The sequence below is a fragment of the Homo sapiens genome, chromosome 5 (assembly GCF_000001405.40).
Source record: "Homo sapiens chromosome 5, GRCh38.p14 Primary Assembly".
NCBI classification, from domain to species: domain Eukaryota; kingdom Metazoa; phylum Chordata; class Mammalia; order Primates; family Hominidae; genus Homo; species Homo sapiens.
The window spans coordinates 57,581,962-57,603,259 of NC_000005.10; the positions used below are offsets into that span (position 1 = coordinate 57,581,962).

Consider the following 21,298-nt stretch of genomic DNA (forward strand, 5'->3'; position numbering starts at 1 on the left):
CCAAAGAATGTGGGGGTAATGAGAGGCTGAGGGATGCTGGCTCAGGACTGAATAATTGACTGGAAGTATTATTCTCCCTTTTGGGTTTTTAAGCTGTCCCCCATTGGCTCATTTTTATTTGTAAAGAGAGTTTCTGTGGGCACTATAAGTTGCCTACACAGCAGAATTCCCTGCCGTCCTTCTGAACACATCCCTAATTGTGTGCAGGTATCCACCCTGCTCTCTTGCAAGACAAGTGCCTCCAAGGATGCTGCTTCTACCATCAGCACTGGCAAGGAGAACCCGATTGGTTTAAGTGTAATCTCATCATGCTGGCTGGTGATTGGTTCAAGAATGGGCATGTGGTCCTTTGTGTTTCATTGCTGGCCATTGAGACATAAAGAGAGTTTGTGGGTAGCCATGGAGACTGTTCTTATTTGCTTTTAAGAGATGTTGAATGTCACTGTCTTTCCCTCTATGGATGGAAATAGAGAAGTATGTAGCTCCAAATTCTTCTAGTGACAATTATATAACTGTGAGAAAACAAACCAAAACAAAATACCCTCCTAGCATTACAAGGAGCGATAAAAAGAAGCTAATGCTTGATCACGTGCTGGACTGCATGGATCAACAAACTCTGGAACCTGCTTTGTCTCTGAACTTTCTGTTATGTAAGTCATTCCTCAACTGTTTATGCTATTCCGGGTTATGTTTTCTTACTTGCAGCTGAAAGCATCCTAATACCTATGCTTCAAGTAGTCATTGTGGCTCTAATGTCCCCTGACTAGCTCCAAGGCTTGGCCTCCTAACTTGGGGAACTGTAGCTTTTTTCATAATCTCCAGCTGGTATTTTTGGGAGTTCTAGATGTTCTTGAATCAACTTGGGCAGCGTTTCAGTGCTGTTCTCTTTATCTCTTAACTGTCCAGTTCCTGCAGGGCCTCCATTGAGGCTTAGCAGCTTTAAAAAAAAAATTAGAAGGAGAGTGCTCCCTCCCTCTGTTACATTCTCAGTCTGTAGGTAGCAGTAGTGATCCTAAAACAGGGATGCTTGAGTTCCGAAGTATTAAAGAGATAAAAAGGCCAGTACTTTTATTTTTGTAAAATTTAGATACACAATTCCCTGTTGACCTTCAGGCTCTGTAGCTAAATTTGGCTAGACCAGTGTCCAAGATAAATATAATACAAAATACAGGTGTAACTTTAAGTCTTCTAGCAGCTGCCTTAAAAAAGCAAAAAGAATCAGGTAAAACTAATTTCAATAATATATTTTATTTACTTCAACATGCAAAAAATTATTTCAATATGCAATTGATATAAAAGCTTTTTAAGAGATATTTTATGTGAGTTTTTCCAAAGCAAGTCTTCAAAATCCCATGCACATTTAATCTCAATTTAGACTAGCTACATTTCAAGTACTCAGTAGCCACATGTGTTTAGTGGCTGCTGCCATTTTGAACAGCACAGGGCTAGACTCTGCCAAAGTTCTGCCCACAGAGGTAATTTGCTCCAAGTGGCTTTTTCCTCCTTTCTTGAACTCTGATTTATTTTCCCTCTAATCCCAGAGCTGCTTTCTTCTTTTGGTTTTTCAGATGTGTGTCCATATGTTTGAACTCCAACTGTGAATATGGCTGGAGTTAATGACTTCCCCCAGAAAACTTCTCAGCTCTTATTTAAATAAATAAATTTAATTGTTTGCAAATGGAGCTAAGTGGGTGGGAGGAGCTGTTTATGAATGCAAACATATATTTGCTTGAGGGGAAAGGTGTTATCCAAATCAAATTTCTTTTACCAGAGCAAACAATTTCTTCCTTCGTGTTAAACCCAATGGACACTTTCTAATTCTTTTTTTTTTTATCTGACCTTCCCATTGACTTTGCTGAACACCATTTTGTTCCTGAAAGTCTCTCTTCTCCTGGCTTCCATGACACTTGCCTCTCCTAGCTCTTCTGCTTCTCTGACTGCTCCAACTTGGGGCTCCCCTTTTACTGCCCTTCCCTTAAAGGTGATGCTCCAATGGTTACATGTTTGATCTTCCTGTCTTTTGTACTCCATATATTCACCATCAATACTTTCATCCATCCATGGCTTAATTGTAATTTACATACAAATATTTCCCAAATATGTATGTTCAGCCCATATTCATCTCCTGACCAAACCCATATAATACATTGTTCATGAATCAACCCCTTTTAGATATCTGAAGGGTCACCATTTGTAAAACTGAAGTCATTACTTTTCCTCCTCTAAACTGGACTCTCTACTTTTGTTTTTTGTTTTACTAAACGGTACCACTAACCATTCAGTTGACCAGCCTGAAACGGGTTGTTGTTCTAAATTAAATGCCTCTCTGTCTCTCACCTCCCCTATGTAATAATCAGCAAGTCCTTCTGATTAAACTTAACTACAATCTCTTGATTGAGTCACATATTCCCCTCATTCCCACTGCTACCATTTTGTCTTTTCTCAATTAACCTCTGACTAGTTCCTTGCCATCACTCTTGATCCTTCTTTCCAGCCTCCTTATTGCACTGAAAGGAGCTTTTCTCAAACAGAAATTACTGGTCAATCCCTTGTTTCTTTGCTTAAAATTAAACTTTAAAAAAAAATTTTATTTTAAGTTCTAGATACATGCACAGAACGTGCAGTTTTCTTACATAGATGAACATGTGCCATGGTGGCTTGCTGCACCCATCAACCCATCAACCCTAGGTATTAAGCCCTGCATGCATTAGCTGTTTATCCTGATGCTGTCCCTCCCTGCCTCCACAGGCCCCAGTGTGTGTTGTTCTCTTCCCTGTGATCTGGCTTCTACCTTCCTCTCCCATATTTCTGCCTGCTTGTGCTCTACCTTCAACTTACAATGAACTTGAGGTTCCTTTTTGTCTCCTGGGCCTTTGCTTGTGCTGTTCCTCTGCCTTGGACAGTCTTTCTGCCACCTTCTTTCCCTGGCTAATTTGATCCTAGCAGTTCTAAAATTTTTGGTCTCAGAACTCCTTTAAACTATAAAAATTATTGAGGACCCCAAAGAGTTCTTATGAGTAGAGGCATTATCTATAAATTGTTACTGTATTTGGAATTAAGCTAAGAAATCTTGAAAATAATTCTTCATTGATTGACTTTAAAATACAATACATAAATAATGACAATACCTAAATAACATTTTATGGAAATGACTATTGACAAGACAAAACATATTAGTGAGAAGAGTGGCATCATTTTACATTTTTGCAAATATCTGTAGTGTTTGGCTCAATAAAAGACACTGGTCTCATATCTGCTTCTGAACTCAATCTCTGTAATATGTTGTTTTAGTCAAAGTATGTGAAAAAGATCTAGCTTCAAGTAGTATATAGTTGGAATATTAGTTTATTAGGGCTACTGTAACAAAGTGCACAAACTGAGTGACTTAAACATAAATTAATTTCCTCACAATTCTGAAAACTGGAAGTCTGAGATCAGCATGGCTGTGCCCCCTCTGAAGGTAGTGGGGAAGAATCCATCCTCTCTCCTAGCTCCTGGTAGTTTCTTAGCTTATGGCAGCATAACTCCTGTCTTTGCATGGAGTTCTCTCTATCTGTGTGTCTATTTCTGTGTCAAAAATTTCTCCTGTTTATAGGGATACTTGCCATGTTTGAATAGGGCCTATTCTAATGATCTCATTTTAACTTGATCACCTCTGCAAAGACCCTTTCTACAAATAGGGTCATATTCTGAGGGGGTAAGGACTCTACTATATCTTTTTGGGAAAGTGGAAAAGGCAGTACTTCCCAGGATCCTTCTAACAGAGTCTCAGATATCCTTGGGTCACACTTTGAAAAACACTGCTTGAACCCATCCTTCAAGTCTCAGTTGAGAAGTTGCTACTCTGCAAAGCCCTTCCTGACTCAAGCCCATGCTGAGTGCTTCTCCTATGTACTCTGCAACATCCTGGGGTTCCCTTTTCAGAGCACTTATCATACTACTGTGGAATTCCTTCTAGAGGAATCTATTTCCACTGCTGGACCTGACCATAAAAATTGAGATCAATTGACCATGGTCAGGAATCACTATTTTGTAAGTTTTATTTTGAGCAATATGGCAAAATATAATTCAAGTTGACTTTTATAGGTTTTAAATATTTTATTAAAAAAAATCCTCTAAACTATTTTTGAGAGAATTTTTTAAAATAACCTTTTTAGCACATAAACTCTCTAAGGTACATCCTTTAGATCAGCAATAGTACGGTGGTAATTTAAAAGAGTAAATTATTAATATGTTCATTAAAATGCATAAAGCCATCCTGTGGTGGATATATTTGCCAGTGTTTATAAAAAGAACTTTTTATAGCCTCATTAGAAGTTCTTAAAATATAAACTGCTTAGGGAAATGCATGAAACTATAGCTCTGAAAGGACTCTAATTTCCTATAAAATGTTTGGAACATTACATTGCTAAAGTAGTATTTATGCATTTTGACTGTGGGTTAATAATGCACATCAATGCAATGAAATACAATTTGTCTATACTAGACCAGAAATGGTGGTAGAGATTCTGACTGTACACAGTTAATTCTAAATATCCTAACCATTTTCTCTTTCTTCTCTTTTATATGTGATTGTCAAAAGTAATTAAATTTTTGGTTCATATAATTCAGTCGCCAACCACTTCCCCAACTGTGTTCATGGGCCTGCCTTCCTTAGAGATAAAACCCAAGTGCTTTCCAAGCCAAGAATATCAATGTTAGTGAAGATCTATGAAAACAAACTTTGATTGAAAACATATTTATTTTGAACTGAACTTCAAGTGATTTTAGTTTTGTTGACTAGATTTGGCAAGACGGTCACTGTTGAGGTTATACCTCCTTTTGCTGCTTCCTTTTGAAGTCAGGATCTGTCCTTGTGGCTGATGTGGAGAGCAGAGCATTCTGTGTTATATCAATTCTAACTTTCAAGAGAGGAGTTTTAACACATGTGTTTATGACAGAATGTGGTAATGTTCTCCATCTTGGCCACTGGATTGACTTGGATTCCTTCTTGGCTGCCATGACTACAAACAAAATGGGAGAAAGTTCTGGAAAAGATTTCATTGAATTCCTGCAGCCCAAGTCACTGCTTATTCTATTCTCTCTTCTCTTTTCTAATCCAGTTCCCTGTAATACTCTCCCATGTATAAATAATTTTTCTAAAATTATTTACCTGTCTGTACCTCTGACCCCTTGGAGAATGCCTGGATTTATGTTAATTTGATGTTGGTGATTGTTATTTTAGGTGCTGGATTTGAAATGTTTTTTGGAATTCTTTTATTTTTTAATTGGCAGAATTAAAAAAAAACAATTAGCAGATATTGTTTTCACAAAAATAGGAATTCTACTTGATATGGTTTGGCTCTGTGTCCCCACCTAAATCTCACCTTGAATTGTAATCCCCATAATCCCCATGAGTCAAGGATGGGACCAGATGGAGGTAATTGAATCATGGAGGTGGTTTCCTCCATGGTGCTCTCATGATAATGAGTGAGTCTCGTGATCTGATGGTTTTATAAGTGTCTGGCATTTCCCCTGCTTGCACTCATTTTCTCTTTCCTGCTGCCCTGTGAAGAAGGCGCCTTGCTTCCTCTTTGCCTTCTGCCATGATTATAAGTTTCCTGAGGACTCACCAACCATGCTGAACTGTAAGTCAATTAAACCTCTTTCCTTTGTAAATTACCCAGTGCTATGTATATACTACTTTAAGAAAATTTGTCGAATTAATGTGTTTTCTCAACCAATAGTTACTGAAGTTTACTGTATTATGTATGAATTCTTAAAGCGGATTGAAAAAAGACATCAAGAAAACCTAGGTGATACCATTCAGGACATAGGCATGGGCAAGGACTTCATGTCTAAAACACCAAAAGCAATGGCAACAAAAGCCAAAATTGACAAGTAGGATCTAATTAAACTCAAGAGCTTCTGCACAGCAAAAGAAACTACCATCAGAGTGAACAGGCAATCTACAGAATGGGAGAAAATTTTTGCAGTCTACTCATCTGACAAAGGGCTAACAACCAGAATCTACAAAGAACTCAAACAAATTTACAAGAAAAAAGCAAACAACCCCATCAACAAGTGGGCAAAGGCTATGAACAGACCCTTCTCAAAAGAAGACATTTATGCAGCCAAAAGACACATGAAAAAATGCTCATCATCACTGGCCATCAGAGAAATGCAAATCAAAACCACAATGAGATTCCATCTCACACCAGTTAGAATGGTGATCATTAAAAAGTCAGGAAACAATAGGTGCTGGAGAGGATGTGGAGAAATAGGAACACTTTTACACTGTTAGTGGGACCGTAAACTAGTTCAACCATTGTGGAAGACAGTGTTGCAATTCCTCAGGGATCTAGAACTAGAAATACCATTTGACCCAGCCATCCCGTTACTGGGTATATACCCAAAGGATTATAAATCATGCTGCTATAAAGACACATGCACACGTATGTTTATTGCGGCACTATTCACAATAGCAAAGACTTGGAACCAACCCAAATGTCCATCAATGATAGACTGGATTAAGAAAATGTGGCACATATACACCATGGAATACTATGCAGCCTTAAAAAAGGATGAGTTCATATCCTTTGTAGGGACATGGATGAAGCTGGAAACCATCATTCTCAGCAAAGTATCGCAAGGACAAAAAACCAAACACTGCATGTTCTCACTCTCAGGTGGGAATTGAACAATGAGAACACATGGACACAGGAAGGGGAACATCACACACCAGGGCCTGTCATGGGATGGGGGGAAGGGGGAGGGATAGCATTAGGAGATATACCTAATGTAAATGACAAGTTAATGGGTGCAGCACACCAGCATGGCACATGTATACATATGTAACAAACCTGCACGTTGTGCACATGTACCCTAAAACTTAAAGTATAATAAAAAAAATATATAAAAGACATCTATACTAAAAATTATTGAGACTAATTGACCTATGACTTTGAAAGATTTAATCAATAAGAGTATTAATTTAAAGATAAAAAAGTAGCAACTAATACAAATAGGTAGTTAAAAGGTTTACTCAGGGCTTCTGTGGGATTTTATTGAGTAAGTCACAATGATGATAATACAGTAATGACCCTTTATATAGAGTTTCCTTAGTGTTAGGCACACGTAACTCTCACAACCCCTGAGACACATGCTAAAGGATTCTCTCCATGGTATGTCTGAGGCAAAGCACAGGGTGGATAAGTGACTTGCGCAAGGTTACATAGCAAGTATGTGGTGGGGCCAGGCTTCAAACCCCAACAGCTGGGTCCAGAGTCAATGCTCCCTAGAAGAGCAAACTACCAGGTATTCTCCAGAGGTACATTTGTCAGAGTCAAGCTTTGTGTGCAATGCCTTGTTATATCAGTTTTGGGGGTGGTTCCTCTGGAAGACGAAGGCTTCCATTTTGACTTTTGATTGTCTGGGTAACCCTACCAGGCCTATCTGATATGTCCCCATTCTTCCTTTTCACTATCCTGTTGTCAAAATTTGTCAGTTTCATTTCTCAGTCTTCAAAATTCTGACATTTGTGTGTTGGTTTTGATTAGCAAAGCCAGGCTTGATAACACATAACGTAATTGTTCTTAGATAGGTTATATCTGACAATGTATAATGTGCATGTATCCACAGGGCCTTTAGCAAATAGTAATAGTAATAAAAGTAAATGATGAAGATTCCAGGATATGTTAGTAGCTAATATGTGTTAGGCACTTACTATATGAAATGAACTTCTTATACAGAATTTCTAATCCTTTGATCATATTAAGCTTGGTGTTATATGCTCATTTTGTAAGCGAAGAAGCAGGCCCAGCCACCAACTTCCTTGCCCACAGTCACTAAGGTACAGCTTGGGCTTTGTGACTCCTGGATCCCTCTGGCCTTTGCTCTGGCTATCTTCCAGCTGCTACCATTGGGCTCCTGAGACATGGACCTTAATGTGCCTGGTCTGGGATTTGATCTGAGGTGGCCAGTAACCTCATAGAAGAGCACAGCTTGTCTTCTTTCCTCTCTCTCATTTTGTCTTAACATCCCAGAAATGTTGCCTGACTTAATCATTTTAGGTCTTTTAATTGTTTGGTTATACTTCTTTGGAATAGTTACTATTATTGCTTTGAAACTTCTATCACCATTTTAGATTTTCTTCTATGCTAGTTTTATGTAAACAATGAGTATAAGTGGACATATGTTATCTTTTTGTTTTGCATGAATGATTTGAAGCTTTCATATCTGAATTCAAAAATTGTTCAGACATCAAATCATTTCTAAGTAATGGAGTAACTACGGGGGTCCCTCCACCTGGGTGATGAGCGGCTGTTTTTAAAAGGGTAAATGTCATCTAAACTGCCCTTTCCCTCTCTCTGCCCTTCATGAATCCCTAATCCTGACTCTGACACTTCTCTTCCATGGCACATCTAACAAAATGCAGATTATTTTCTAAATGTTGCACCTGAGTGGAAACTGCGTGTACACACTGGTTAAATTTAACCAATGTCTGGGTCAGCACACTTTGATTGCGTGTGTGCTGAGCAGAATGTTGGGGTATGTTGGATAAGGAAAGAGCTTATTCCATTAGTATTTTAGTAAGATCACACAGCTTATTTTATCTTATTTTATTTTATTTTTTATTTGATTTTATTTTACACCTGTGCTACAATTATTAGTGCAGTAGGCTGGCCTACCCCTCAGGAATATTGAGGACATCTGACTGTTAATTTCTATATGAAGAGAAAAAGAGGTGGCTCTGCATAAGATTATCCTAAAGTTCAGTAATCAAGTGCCCTGGGGATGCTCTTCTGTCCTCTTAGTCACTGCTCGCTCCCTCAAGCACCTGTTGTTTTTGTGTTCCCACTGAACTCTAAGTTCTAAAAAATCTGGGATCCCCCCAGCTTAGAGTATCTTTTCCAAGACTTTACTTCCCTTCTCACTCCTTGGCTTCTTAAAATTTGTCTCTTTCTGGCATTATTCCCTCCCCATATATTAGTCCCCTGGACTATAGCCTAGAAGCCTAATTATAAGGATCTAGTGGGTGTAGAATCATGGGATACTAGAGTTGGAAGAAACATCAGAGATTATTCTAGCCCAGCCACTGAACAGATGAGAATTAGTCTTGGAGATATAAGGTGAATTGCCATGCTGGATCTTCACGCCAGGACGCCTCCGTTGAACCAGTTTATGTTAATCTTTCCATATTGAAAATGCCTTTATTTGCATTTTAACTGGGCCTTCAAGTGCTTAGACCAGTGTTTCCTAAACTTGGCTAATCATTGAAATCACCCCCATCATGGTTCTGATTCTCTAAGCCTGAGCTGGGAATAGGAAACTATACTATTAACAGGCGCAGGTAATTGTAATAATTAGCATATGTTGGAAAACTGCATTAAACGCAATGGCTGACTTAGTAGCATTGTAAATTCCAGCTACTAAGTAAGGCTAATGGACTGTGTAGTTTTAGGCAATTGAGTTTTTCTAGCTCAAATCAGTCCACTCAAGGAGGCCGGTGTTGATTGTAAAGCAGAAGGAACTCTCCCTTATTGAAAACCGGAAGTGCAGAAACAGTCCTTCAAACTCAGAAGACTCAAAATTAGTATTTGTTGACATAGAAAATATTAACATAATCATGAAACTCGGTGAAAAATAAATGTCTTTCTGGGTGGCAGTAGAATCCCTGATAAAGAAGGGCCTATCTTTGTTTAGGACCATAAACTGGTAAAGGCATTTCAGAGAGAAGGAGACAAGGAAACTAGAGAGATTGCTAAATCACTCTCCATTAGAAAAGAATGGGAATTTGAGTCTGGGGAAGAACAGAGCAAAGAGGAGAGGAGAGAAGAGGAAGAGGAAGAGGAAGAGGAAAAGACTAAACAATATAGTGACATGACAACAACCATATTGGACATCGTGCTTTATGTTTCATCTTTGGTTGTTTGTGTTGCTGCAGTATTAACACTTTTTTCCTCCTCAGACCTTTAGCAAAGTCAGCTTCATCCACAAAGGCATTGTATTGCTTTTTTGGACAAGAAATAAGATGTACATCTAAATTCATATATGCAGAACCATCACAAAACATGTAGGACTGCAAGTAGATCAAACCAATTCAATGAGAGAAAGAGCTTGGATTGAGGGTATACATGGATTACAAGGTTTCCAGCATCCTGTGTATACAGACCATGCCCTTGTATTTTATGTTTTTTGTCCTGAAGCATGTGTTGACTTTGTCAGGACGCCCTAAACATCTTAGATTCAGCCTTTTCCCAATGAAAGGCAAAACTCCTCTGTCAAACTATTTTTTCAAATTTAACTAGATGTCCTGTATTTTTATTTACTACATCTGGCCACCCTACCAGAGAACCACAAGTGCCCTAGCAAATTTACAGAAATCTTGGCAAGGGCATTGGACTTTCCACAAGTTGTGAATGGGGTTTCAGAAAATCTTATCTAGATTATCTAGGGTGGGACGATTTCAGCTGACGTTGAGGTTGCAATGAAAACTGACCTGTCAAATCCAGTGTCTTCCAACCTTGACTCACAGTAGAGTCATCTGGAAGCTTATAAAAAAATCACGTCAAGACCCCATTGTCAGGATTCTGGTTCATATATGCTGGTATGGGGCCAAGTCTCAGTATTGTTAAAGTTTACCAGCAGATTCTAAAGTGGAAGCTAGGATTGAGAGTCACTGGTCTGGAGGCCACCCTTTATAAAGTCTTAGGCATATATAGCTGTGAGGGGCAAACATAAAAGACTGGAGGCTTGGGTGAAAGAGGGAGGAAATGAAGTCCAGTAAGGGGCTATTGTCTTTGGAGTGTAAATACCTGCTGGAAGGCTTGGACCTGGCCAGGCCTGAAATATTTGTCAATTAGAAACCTATCTCATTCTTTCTTGCTATGTAATTCTACAAAGAAAAGGAAAAAAAGTCAAGTGTCTTCTGCCCATCCCCCCAACCAACAACCCCAATATTAGTCAGGGTTTAAATAAGAATAGACAAGTGGGAGTTATATATTAAGAGATTTATTGCATGGAACTGACTTAATATGACTGTGGGAGCTGGTAAAGCAAGTTTGAAATCCATAGCGCTGGCCATCAGGAAGGGCAGGTTGGAACTCTTGGACATAAGCTGGTGCTGCTGTCTATAGGCAGACTGTCTCCTTCAGGGAATCCTTAGCTCTGCTGTTACAGCCTTTCAACAGACTGAATCAGGCCATTCAGATTATCCGGGATAATCTCCCTCACTTAAGGTCAACTGCTTCTGGATTTTTATCACATTTACCAAATACCTTCATAGCAACACCTAGATTAGTGTTAGATTGAACAACTTGGGACAATAGCTCATCCAAATGGATACATAAAACTATCACATCCACACTTGTAATCACTTCCTAAAAGTCAGTTAGCTGCTAAACTGCAGCAATTCAAAGCAGAAAGACAAAATACATTGAGGCAACCTGGCTAAGGTGACCTATTGTTTGTTACCATTCTCCAACCCGTGTGACCCAGGAATGACAGGGAAACTCAGGTGTGGCATCCTTTTTTTTTTTTTCACCTACAATTTGTGGTATTATTAGAAAGATGCCAGGGGAGAAAGACAAGAAAATGAGGGACAAAGAGCCAAGCTCCTATTCAGAGCCTGTGGATGAGAGAAGAGATGAGTGCAGGGAAGAAGATGGAGACCTATTTCTAATCTCTTCTGGGGAGATGTGTGTGAGGCTTAGTTTCCTTTAATTTAAAATGCACTTATGCTGCTGTTCTTAGTGCACAGGTGAATTAAATTGAGGTTGTGAATGTGATTTCTCTTGGAGTCATTTAGGTTTACTGCTTCACCAGAACAGCTTTCACACTAACCCTGTGGAGTCCTCTTAAAACTGCCACAGCTCCTGGGTGTGGAGGAATGTAAACAGCTCAATCCCAAATCTATCTCTAATATTGGAGAAAGAAATATCTCTCTCACATTCACAGTCTCCCTATTATGTGCAGCCTGTGAAGAATGAAAAATGCCCTGGGGGATGGAGGATGGAGAGAAGCTGGTTAGGGAGCACCAAAGTACAGTTAGATAGAAGGAACAAATTCTAGTACTTGATAGTACAGTAGGGAAGTTAGAGTTAACAATAATTTATTGTATATTTAAAAATAGCTAAAAGAGAAGATTTGTAATGTTCCCAACAGAAAGAAAAGATAAAAGCTTGAGGTGATGGATATCCCAGGTACCCTGATTTGATTGCTACACATTGTATACAGGTATCACAATATCACATGTACCCCTATAATATGCACAACTAATATTTATCAATTTTAAAATAGAATAATGAAAACTAAAAAAAGAAAAGTGCCCTGGGCCAACAGTTCTGAAGCACCAATGCCTGTGATTGGCTCTGTCATCAGTTTCCTCACTGGTAAAATAGTGGAGTTGCTTAAATTGGAAAGTCTTTTCTGGCCTATTGGTTCCATGATTCTACATGGCAGTAGCTCTGCCCCATACGTGCTTAGGGTGGAGGGTGGCAGGGTGGTGAGTTGGCCCTTCAGATTTCCTGGGGTCCGGGGCTTGTGTTTGACAGAATTATGGTTGGAGAAGCTCCTATTCAGGATAGGAATGAATTTTAAGCCAACGAGTTTCAGCTTTACATTATATTTGAACAATAAAATTATTGTCCAAACTTGGCACACATCTGAGAGTGAAAGAGGATGTTCTTAAGAATTGTGCCTGAAACAGAAAACCAAACACTGCATGTTCTCACTCATAAGTGGGAGTTGAACAGTGAGAACACGTGGACACAGGGAGTGGAACCTCACACGTTACCGGGGCCTGTCAGGGGGTGGGGGTAAGGGGAGGGAGAATATGAGGACAAACACCTAATGTGTATGGGGCTTAAAACCTAGATGACGGGTTGATAGGTGCAGCAAAGCACCATGGCACATGTATACCTATGAAACAAACCTGCACGTTCTGCACATGTATCCCAAAACTTAAAGTAAAAAAAAAAAAAAAAAAAAGAATTGTGCCTGAACCATGCATATAAATTGAAACAGTCTTGGGTGAACTGAAACTCAAGGTGACCTTGAATGAAGGCAACAGGGACTCTTGGAACCATTTTAATTAGGAAAATGATTCCTTTTCTTTCAGATTACTTCGATAATTTAACTAAAAATGTGTACTGGATGTTAATCTATGTTGAAATGTGGCAAAGCAAAGTATACTTCCTAGTTTTGCTGAAGGTAGATTCATCTACTGCCAAATATTAAATAAGTAGAGGAAGAGGAGAGACCAGAGGCAAGGAGACCAGTAAGAGACGACCAAAATAATCCAGGCAAGAGACAATGAGGGGTGGATTAGTTTGGGAAAAAGCCTGAGAAGGAAAAATGAAACCTGCTCAAGCCATTCAGATTATCATTGTTTACACTGTAAGTGATGAAGAAACAAAGAAGTGTCTGATTTGGTGGTTATTAAAAAAGTGACTTAAATGTAGTGACTTTAAATGTAGGGTTTCATTCTGTATAGTCATTTATTGCTCAGCAGCACAAAGAAGGCATCAACTCTCTGAACCTTGAGATTCTGCTCTTGGTTTTTCTCAAAACAGAACCACTTGGTAGCTTTCTCAGCTAAATGCCCTGTCTTATAGCCAGGCCCGTCTGAGAGATGAATTGAATAAATGTCTCTGGAGATATTTGGTCTTGGGATTGTATCATTAGGGCTTATAAAGCATGTCTAATTTACTTAATGGATTATAATGTCTTGGAAATGGCTATAATGATCTATTTACACTGAATGCCTGAGTGCACAGACCATTTGTATAAATAAGAAAATGTTCCCTGCTGTCAAGATGTTTTTTTGTCTATAGATCAGTTACCTGATGCCCTTAGTCTATATTGTTAATTTGGGTAGTGATTATATCCTGCATATTATAAATCTTCAAGTAATCATTATGCACAGCAGCTGCTTGGGTCTTTGCTATTTTTACCCAGCTATGAAACCCAGCCTGCAGTATCTCATTTTAAGACAGGAAGTGATATGGAGGAGTCCAAAAGAGCATTCCTGGACCTATTTTATGGGCAGTGTTGAACATGACCTGAAGCACATGTATGTTCTTTTATTTTTCTGGAAATAAATAAAAATACTTAGGCTCCAATATAGTCAATGCTAAGAGCACATGAGTACATTTGTCTATTTGTTGTATGTACCCACACCTTCAACCTCCACTGATATGATGGGCATGCCACAAAAGGCATCCTGACCTAACTGGAGATTTGTTTATTCCAATACCCTTGAATCCACTGCTGATTGCATTAGACCTCTGGACATTTGTCATTCATGCCATTTTCTTCTCCCATTTTCTCTTGCTGGTAGCATTCATTGTTAATAATTGACTCATTTGCTTATTTATACCCTTTCTTGTTTCAAAAGAGTCTTAATTTTGTTTTTATAGATGCATATTATAAAGAACAAATAAATTTAAGAAATGCAAGCAAAGGGAAAGTAAAGTAGGAAAATCAATGAAGGCAAAAGTGAGGTTAGTCCATATAAGGTATATCATAAAGTCCTATACTATGATCGGCTGTGGGCTGCAATTTGGGCCTTATATATTTTAAAAATCAACTGGAAAGGGGAAGGATTACCTGAACAAGCTTCACAGAATTCATTCAGTAAAATGAAACTAGTCAAATAAGTGAAACACAATTATTTCTTTTTTCTCTTTCTCTCTCTTTAGAGACAGGGTCTTGCTCTGGAGTGCAGTGGCTCAATCACAGCTCACTGCAGCCTAGACATTCTGTGTTGAAACGATCTTCCAACTAAACCTCCTGGGTAGCTAAGACTACAGGCATGAGCCACCATGCCTGGCTAATTTAAATTTCTTACACTAAACTCATAAAAGAAAATTCCCCTTGTGTCCTCATAGACAGGACACCTTTTGATAAAAGGCAACTTTGACAACATTCTTACCTCTCGTTATTGATAAATTAGCTGCTTTACTTGCCATATAGTTTCTGAGTAATTCTTGTCATTTCCTAGTCTCTATTAGGACCCCCACATCTGTGCCCACGGAGACTTGGTGTTGAGACTGGTTGGCCCTTGGTAATTTTTTCCAACTCTTTTGCTTCCCCATGAACCTACAATGCCTTTTATTTTTCCATGAACATCTACAGTTTCTTTTAGTGTTCCCTACTCCCTAGGCTGGGTGATTGTCTTAGATGACCTTTGCAGAATGTATTAATTCCCTATAGCTGCTATAACAAAGTAGAAAAACTCAGTAACTTAATCCGAATTTATTATCTTACAATTCTGGAGACCGGAAGTCCAAAATGGGTTTCCTTGTGCTAAACTCAAGGTGTATCAGGTAGGTCTTGGAGGCTCCAGGGGAGAATCTGGTTCCTTGCCCTTGCCAGTTTCTCAAGGCGGGCTGCATTCCTTGGCCTTCTTCCAGCAGTCAAATCACTTCGATAGACCTCTGCTCCATCATCATAACTCCTCTGACTCTGTCTTTCCTGCCTCCCTCTTTCACTTATAAGAAGCCTTTGATTACATTTGGCCCCAACTAGATAATCAAGGACAATCCTCCATCTTAACTCTCTTAATCACATTGGTAAAGTTTCTTTTGCCATGTGAGATGCCATATTCACAGATTCCTGGATTAGGATGTGGACATCTTGAGGTAGGGTGAGGATGAGCATTATTCTGCTTCCTACACACAAGAATTAAGAACTGGAGGAATGGGGCCGGGTGCGGTGGCTCACGCCTGCAATCCCAGCACTTTGGGAGGCCGAGACGGGCGGATCACGAGGTCAGGAGCTGGACACCATCCTGGCTAACATGGTGAAACCCCGTCTCTACTAAAAATACAAAAAAATGAGACAGGGGTGGTGGTGGGCGCCTGTAGTCCCAGCTACTCGGGAGGCTGAGGCAGGAGAATGGCGTGAACCCGGGAGGCGGAGCTTGCAGTGAGCCGAGATCGCGCCACTGCACGCCAGCCTGGGCGACAGAGTGAGACTCCGTCTCAAAACAAACAAACAAAAAACACAAGAGGAATGGAATGTGTGCCACACCATATCAGACAGGATCCAGGCAGAACTGGGCTGTGCCAGCTATTTCAGAAGAGGGAATTACATGTGGAGACCTTATTGCTCTGATGAGCTGTTTCAGGAGCTGAAGACAAGGGAAGGTGAGGAAACGCAGAGATTACCGCAGGGGAAGATGCGCCAGCAGGCTGGAGCTGACAGTGTGGAGCAGGCATTGCTTGGAGGAGCTGAGACCATTGTAGAGGTACTGCCATCACTGCAGATGCTACCTCTAGTGAGAAAAGTCAGGGAGAAACATCCCGACATCCTCCTCTTCCCCGCGGCCCCCGTCTACCAGTGCCTCCTATGTATTGGCTAGACTAAGCAGAAGCTAGCAGGCAAAGATGTATGAAAGCCGTAGGTGGCAGGCCCCTGTGATGTAACCCTAAGAGAGGACAGCCAGTCAACAGATCCGAGAGCAAATAAGCAAATGGGCTAGGGGGCAGACATCTGGTACCCTTTTCTTTCAGTCTGTCCGTAAGCACTGGCTGTCAATACAGTGAAGAATAAAAGGCTTCTGTGTGTATGTGCTGGGGACAAGAGTGGGGAAATGGGGGTAGAAGCAACTGATTTTCACTTTGGTAGGATTTTCTCAAGGAATAGGCTTGAAAAGATTTTCAGCCACTTGGAAAGGGCAGGTTTATTTTTATGAAACTGGATAGATGAATCCTTCTCTCTGCTCTTTCATGCTAATCCTCAATCCTCCTTGCCTCTGCTTCCTCTTCCGCTTTGTCTTCCCTTCCCTCCCTCTCCTTTTCCCTCACTCCCCTCTTTCTTTCCTCTCTCTTCTATTTCTCACTCCCCACTTCGTTTCCACCTTTCCTCTCCATGCTGTCTCTCTCTCCTCCTTCCTTCCCAATAGCTTCCCCCACTCCCTTGCCCTTTTCTTGCATTCATTTCTACAAACACTGCTTTTGTGAGTCAACAGGCACATTCTCATAAGCAGTGGTTGCCTGTGACTGGCTGCTTTTATGAATCAGCAGGCATATTCTCATAAGCAGTGGTTGCTGGTGACTGGCTGTTTCCTTCTTGCTCACTTTGCCTATCAGGTGATAGGCATTGATCCCTTGCAGTGTTCTCAAGACGAGGGGCCTCAGAATTATTTTGTTAGCACCTGTTTTTAATCTTCTGTCCTAAGAATCATTTTCGGGACCTCTCCTAGGACCCAAATCAATATGTGGTATTGAACCCACCTTAAGCTCAGTTATCTGGATTCCTCTGTACCATTGATTCCCTGACATTTCCCTGGACACTCCAGAGTGTCTTTTATTTTTGTTTTTTTTTGCAAGGCCAATTCTCTGGGGTCAATTGTGAGGCTCAAATATAAGGCTCTGCACAACCAAAGATCGTATCTCTGATTCTCAAATAAAAGAAGCATGCAGTATAAAATTGTGTGCCGAGACTGTAACCATTGTTCAACTATCATTGTCTACACGCTTCGGGTTTAGACTCTTCGCTGAGGAGAAATGAGGAAAATATTTTTCATGAAATATGAGCTTCTGATGGAAAGAAATTGAAGCTTTAAACGCGATTCGACTTACTCAGATTTTTTTGTTTGATAATTCATAGGTAAATTGGTCGATTCATTTTGGGACCTTAGGAATGGAGCACTGGATGAGTCATCCCCTCAGCACTAGTACTGCTATTGGTCTGAAGCCTCCAGGGAGAGGCAGCACAGCACAGACTCCCAATTAGATTTCCTGGGTTTCAGTCCTGGCCCAACCACGTTCTTGCTGTGTGACGTTGGGCATTACTTAATCACTTTGTGCCTCAGTTTCCTCAGCTGTAAAATAGGAATTATAATGGTATTTGCCTCCCAGAACTGTTGAGAGAATTAAATAAGCCAATGGAAAGTGCTTAAAACCATGCCAGGTACCACAAAAGAACTTCAAAGGTTTACTCATCTTTTTCTTTTATTCCCTCCTTCCTTCCTGATAGCCGCTTCCATAGGCATCTGTTTCTAATACGTTTGTGTTCTTTATTATGTATATGTTCTTCTAAAATATGTCTGTGTGTTTGGCTTGATTTAAATTATACATTTTGTTGTTTTTTTTTTTTCACCCAGTACTGAATTTTTGAGATGTATCGAGTTGGCTATATTTGCATCTAGTTCATTGCTTCCACCTGCCTCATAGCACCCTTATAGTGTATGTCTATTCTATTTACTTGGCCATTGACCTAGTGATGGTCACCTAAGTTGCCTCCAACTTCCTCCACAGACAATTCCATGACAAGTTCAAGAAGTGGGATCACTGGCCCACAGGGTATTCACAAACTTACCATGACTCTGCCAGGTCATTTTCCAGTATGATTGTAGCAGTTTATACTCTTACCAACAGAGGACAAGAGCTCCTGATTTAATGTAACTTCCCTATCACCAGACATTAAGTACTTGTTCTCATTTGATGGAACGTGGTATTTTTTAAAAAAATTAAAAGAGGAAATTGTATTAAATTTCAATTCTCTGATAGTTTGTGGGGTTGTACAGCTGTTCTTTTGTTTTTTCAGCTAACAGATTTCCTCTTCTGTGTATTATTCATGTACTGTGAGCTTCCACTTTCAGGTATGATTGAGTGCCTGCAGCTGACTAATGCTCCCACCAAGGGGTAAAGGGTTTAGAAAAGCCAGATTAAAAAAGAAATATGTTTAAAGGCATAATGCAACTTCTGAGGCAATCAGTACTTAAGGGGACAAAATCCCAGCAAAAGGGGAGATTTGTCAGTGTTCTGCAGCAGCTTTTATCCTTGGGGCATTTGGCAGTTCTAGGTGTGGGGCAAGAGGTTGACATCTGGGAACATGTTCTTGCCCAGAGCTGTTGCTAAGAGGGGGAATAACCAGCAGAGTCTAGTGGGGCTTGAAAGGCAAAACCTAGAGCCTTGAGGGGTCAGAATCCTTTGAGAAGGGAGGGGTGGAAAACTGAACCCAACATACTGCCAGCTTCCCCCTCAAGACATTTGTTGAATACTGGTGCTAAGTGGGCAGGAGGCTAAGAAAATTGCTAAAAAATTAGGGTGGAATTGTCACCAGACCTGCAGGCTGAGAAGACAAGGATTAGTGTTCTAGACACAAAGTGGGAGGGAGTGGGGGGAGGGAAAGAGAGAGATGTGATGGATACACACACCTTCGATGAGGCAGGTGGAAGTAATGAGCCAGATGCAAATATAGCCAACTCAGTACATTTGAAAAATAAGAAACAGAACAAAATTTATAACCTAAAATTAAGTGTTTGTGTAGGTTTTGAAGGCTGTTTTATCTTGTAGGAACATTGATTTTCTTATTTGCTGTTGCCTAGTTTAATAGTTCATGCTTGATATTTTGAAGGCCCAAAGTCAAACTGCATTATTGATTTTTGATGTTTTATCTACATTTATACATTGGATTATGAAACTGATGCTTTTTTTTGAGCTTTTGTTACTTATTTAACAAATGCTTATTTTTGATCAAGCATCAATAATATAGAGACTCCGTGTTGGAGGCAAGCTGATGTTTACCTTAAAAGTTTTTTGAAAATAAATTCAGAGGGCCGGGAGTGGTGGCTCACACCTGTAATCCAAGCACTTTGGGAGGCTGAGGCAGGTGGATCCCCTGAGATCAGGAGTTCGAGACCAGCCTGGCCAACATCCTGAAACCCCATGTCTACTAAAAATACAAAAATTCACCGGGCGTGGTGGTGCACACTTGTAATCCCAGCTACCTGGGAGGCTGAGGCAGGAGAATCTCTTGAACCCAGGAGGCAGAGGTTGTAGTGAGCCGAGATCGTGCCACTGTACTCCAGCCTGGGCAACAGAGCAAGACTCTGTCTCAAAAAAAAAAAAAATTCAGAATCACTTTGTTGTATATGCTAAATTATCAGCAATTATTATTTCCTTTGTGATATAAGTGTAATTTGAATACACTGAACTTTAATTTCTGCAGCCTAAGAAGTGAACTCAACTCTTACTCAAAGGACTTGGGATATAGTCAATCATGCTGGTGACAGAGCTGACAATGAGAATATCATCTCATGTTTGATGCCCGAATGAGTAATTTTAAATTGGCTCTCGGAGTAACCTATTCTAGAAGTCACATGAAATGCTTAAGTGTAAGATTGCTCCTTAGCTGTGTTCTGGATCCTGATGCTGTGTTTGTGAATTATGTGTAGCTACCAGGAGGAATATGAGGAGGAGGAGCAAAAGGAAAAGGAGGAGAAGGGAAAGAAAGAGGATGAGAAGAAGGAGGAAGAGGAGAAAATGGACTAGAAATGAAATTCTCTATCTTCATTTCAGCTTTTCTACTTTTGAAGTAGTATGAACCTCTCTGAGACAGCCCTTTTCATATCTGTCCCATGTCTCTGCTTCTCCTTTACTTTCTCGTAGCTTTAATATTTTCTAGGGATAATGAGGGGTTAAGAGAAACGTCACTGAAGCTCATAACTTTTTTAACATTTCTCAGAATAAAACTTCAGCTTACAGGCATGTAAATGTAACACAGTGCCTTAGCTATAATTTTCAAGGCTTTTAAAACCTTAATGGGACTGATAAAATCTGAAATAATTGTCATTTCAAAGCTGCAAAAAGATTTAGTCTTAAAAGAGGTAGAAACATGACTACTCTTTTGGGGTACATTTCTTTCTTTTTCAGAGAAAACTAACTAAATAGACCCTTTAGTTAAATACAAATACAAAAGCAAGTGTCCACTTGGGGAAAACTGAGAAGAAACTGGTAATCTGATTGCAAGTGTTGTAGGTGGTTTTGTAATAGAAATTATTTTGTATGAAGAATTAGGGGTTTTGTTTCTAAGGAGAAATGCTTCTTTTCTAAGCATGTTTTTAGATATTGCTTTGCGAGTATGTTGTTACTTGTTCCAATGAAAGGGTGCAGAGGCAAATATGTATCTTGTTTAAATGCTGAGAAGAGACCAAAAGCTGAGATGAAATAGGCAGCAGGAGGCATAGGCAAACCTATTCTGCACCACACACTGCAGGAGCCAGATACAAAGAAAAAGGACCAGACTAGGCAAAGCTCAACCTGGATTTCCTTGGAGTTGAATTTCTTCTGTGGCTGCTCCAGTGGAAATTCAGGTGCTCAGGTAGAAGCTACTAATGTGCAAGCTGTCAGTCCTTTCAAGGTAGAAGCTGCCAGTGCCTGGAGCTGGCACAGTGTCACGTCTACAATCCCCTATTGATCAAAACATGAAAGATCAGATTGGAAGGGGTGGAGGAATATTCTCTACTTCTCAAACTACAAAGACACTTTTTCCAAATGAGGTCACATTTGCAGGCTCTGGGCAGACT

At 40.0% G+C, this 21,298-nt stretch overlaps 2 long non-coding RNA genes across 2 annotated transcripts in view; one reads left to right on the forward strand and one right to left on the reverse strand.

Annotated features, from left to right (window-relative positions):
- LNCBRM (lncRNA SMARCA2 (BRM) associated) overlaps positions 1-21,298 on the forward strand; it is a 47,089-nt gene that overhangs the window by 11,620 nt on the left and 14,171 nt on the right. The gene's annotated exons all lie outside the window — the stretch shown is intronic.
- Positions 4,723-21,298, reverse strand: part of LOC124901182 (uncharacterized) — a 35,965-nt gene continuing 19,389 nt past the window's right edge. The window contains exon 2 of the long non-coding RNA XR_007059133.1: positions 4,723-5,003. This is a non-coding gene — a long non-coding RNA (uncharacterized LOC124901182). The remainder of the gene's footprint in view (positions 5,004-21,298) is intronic.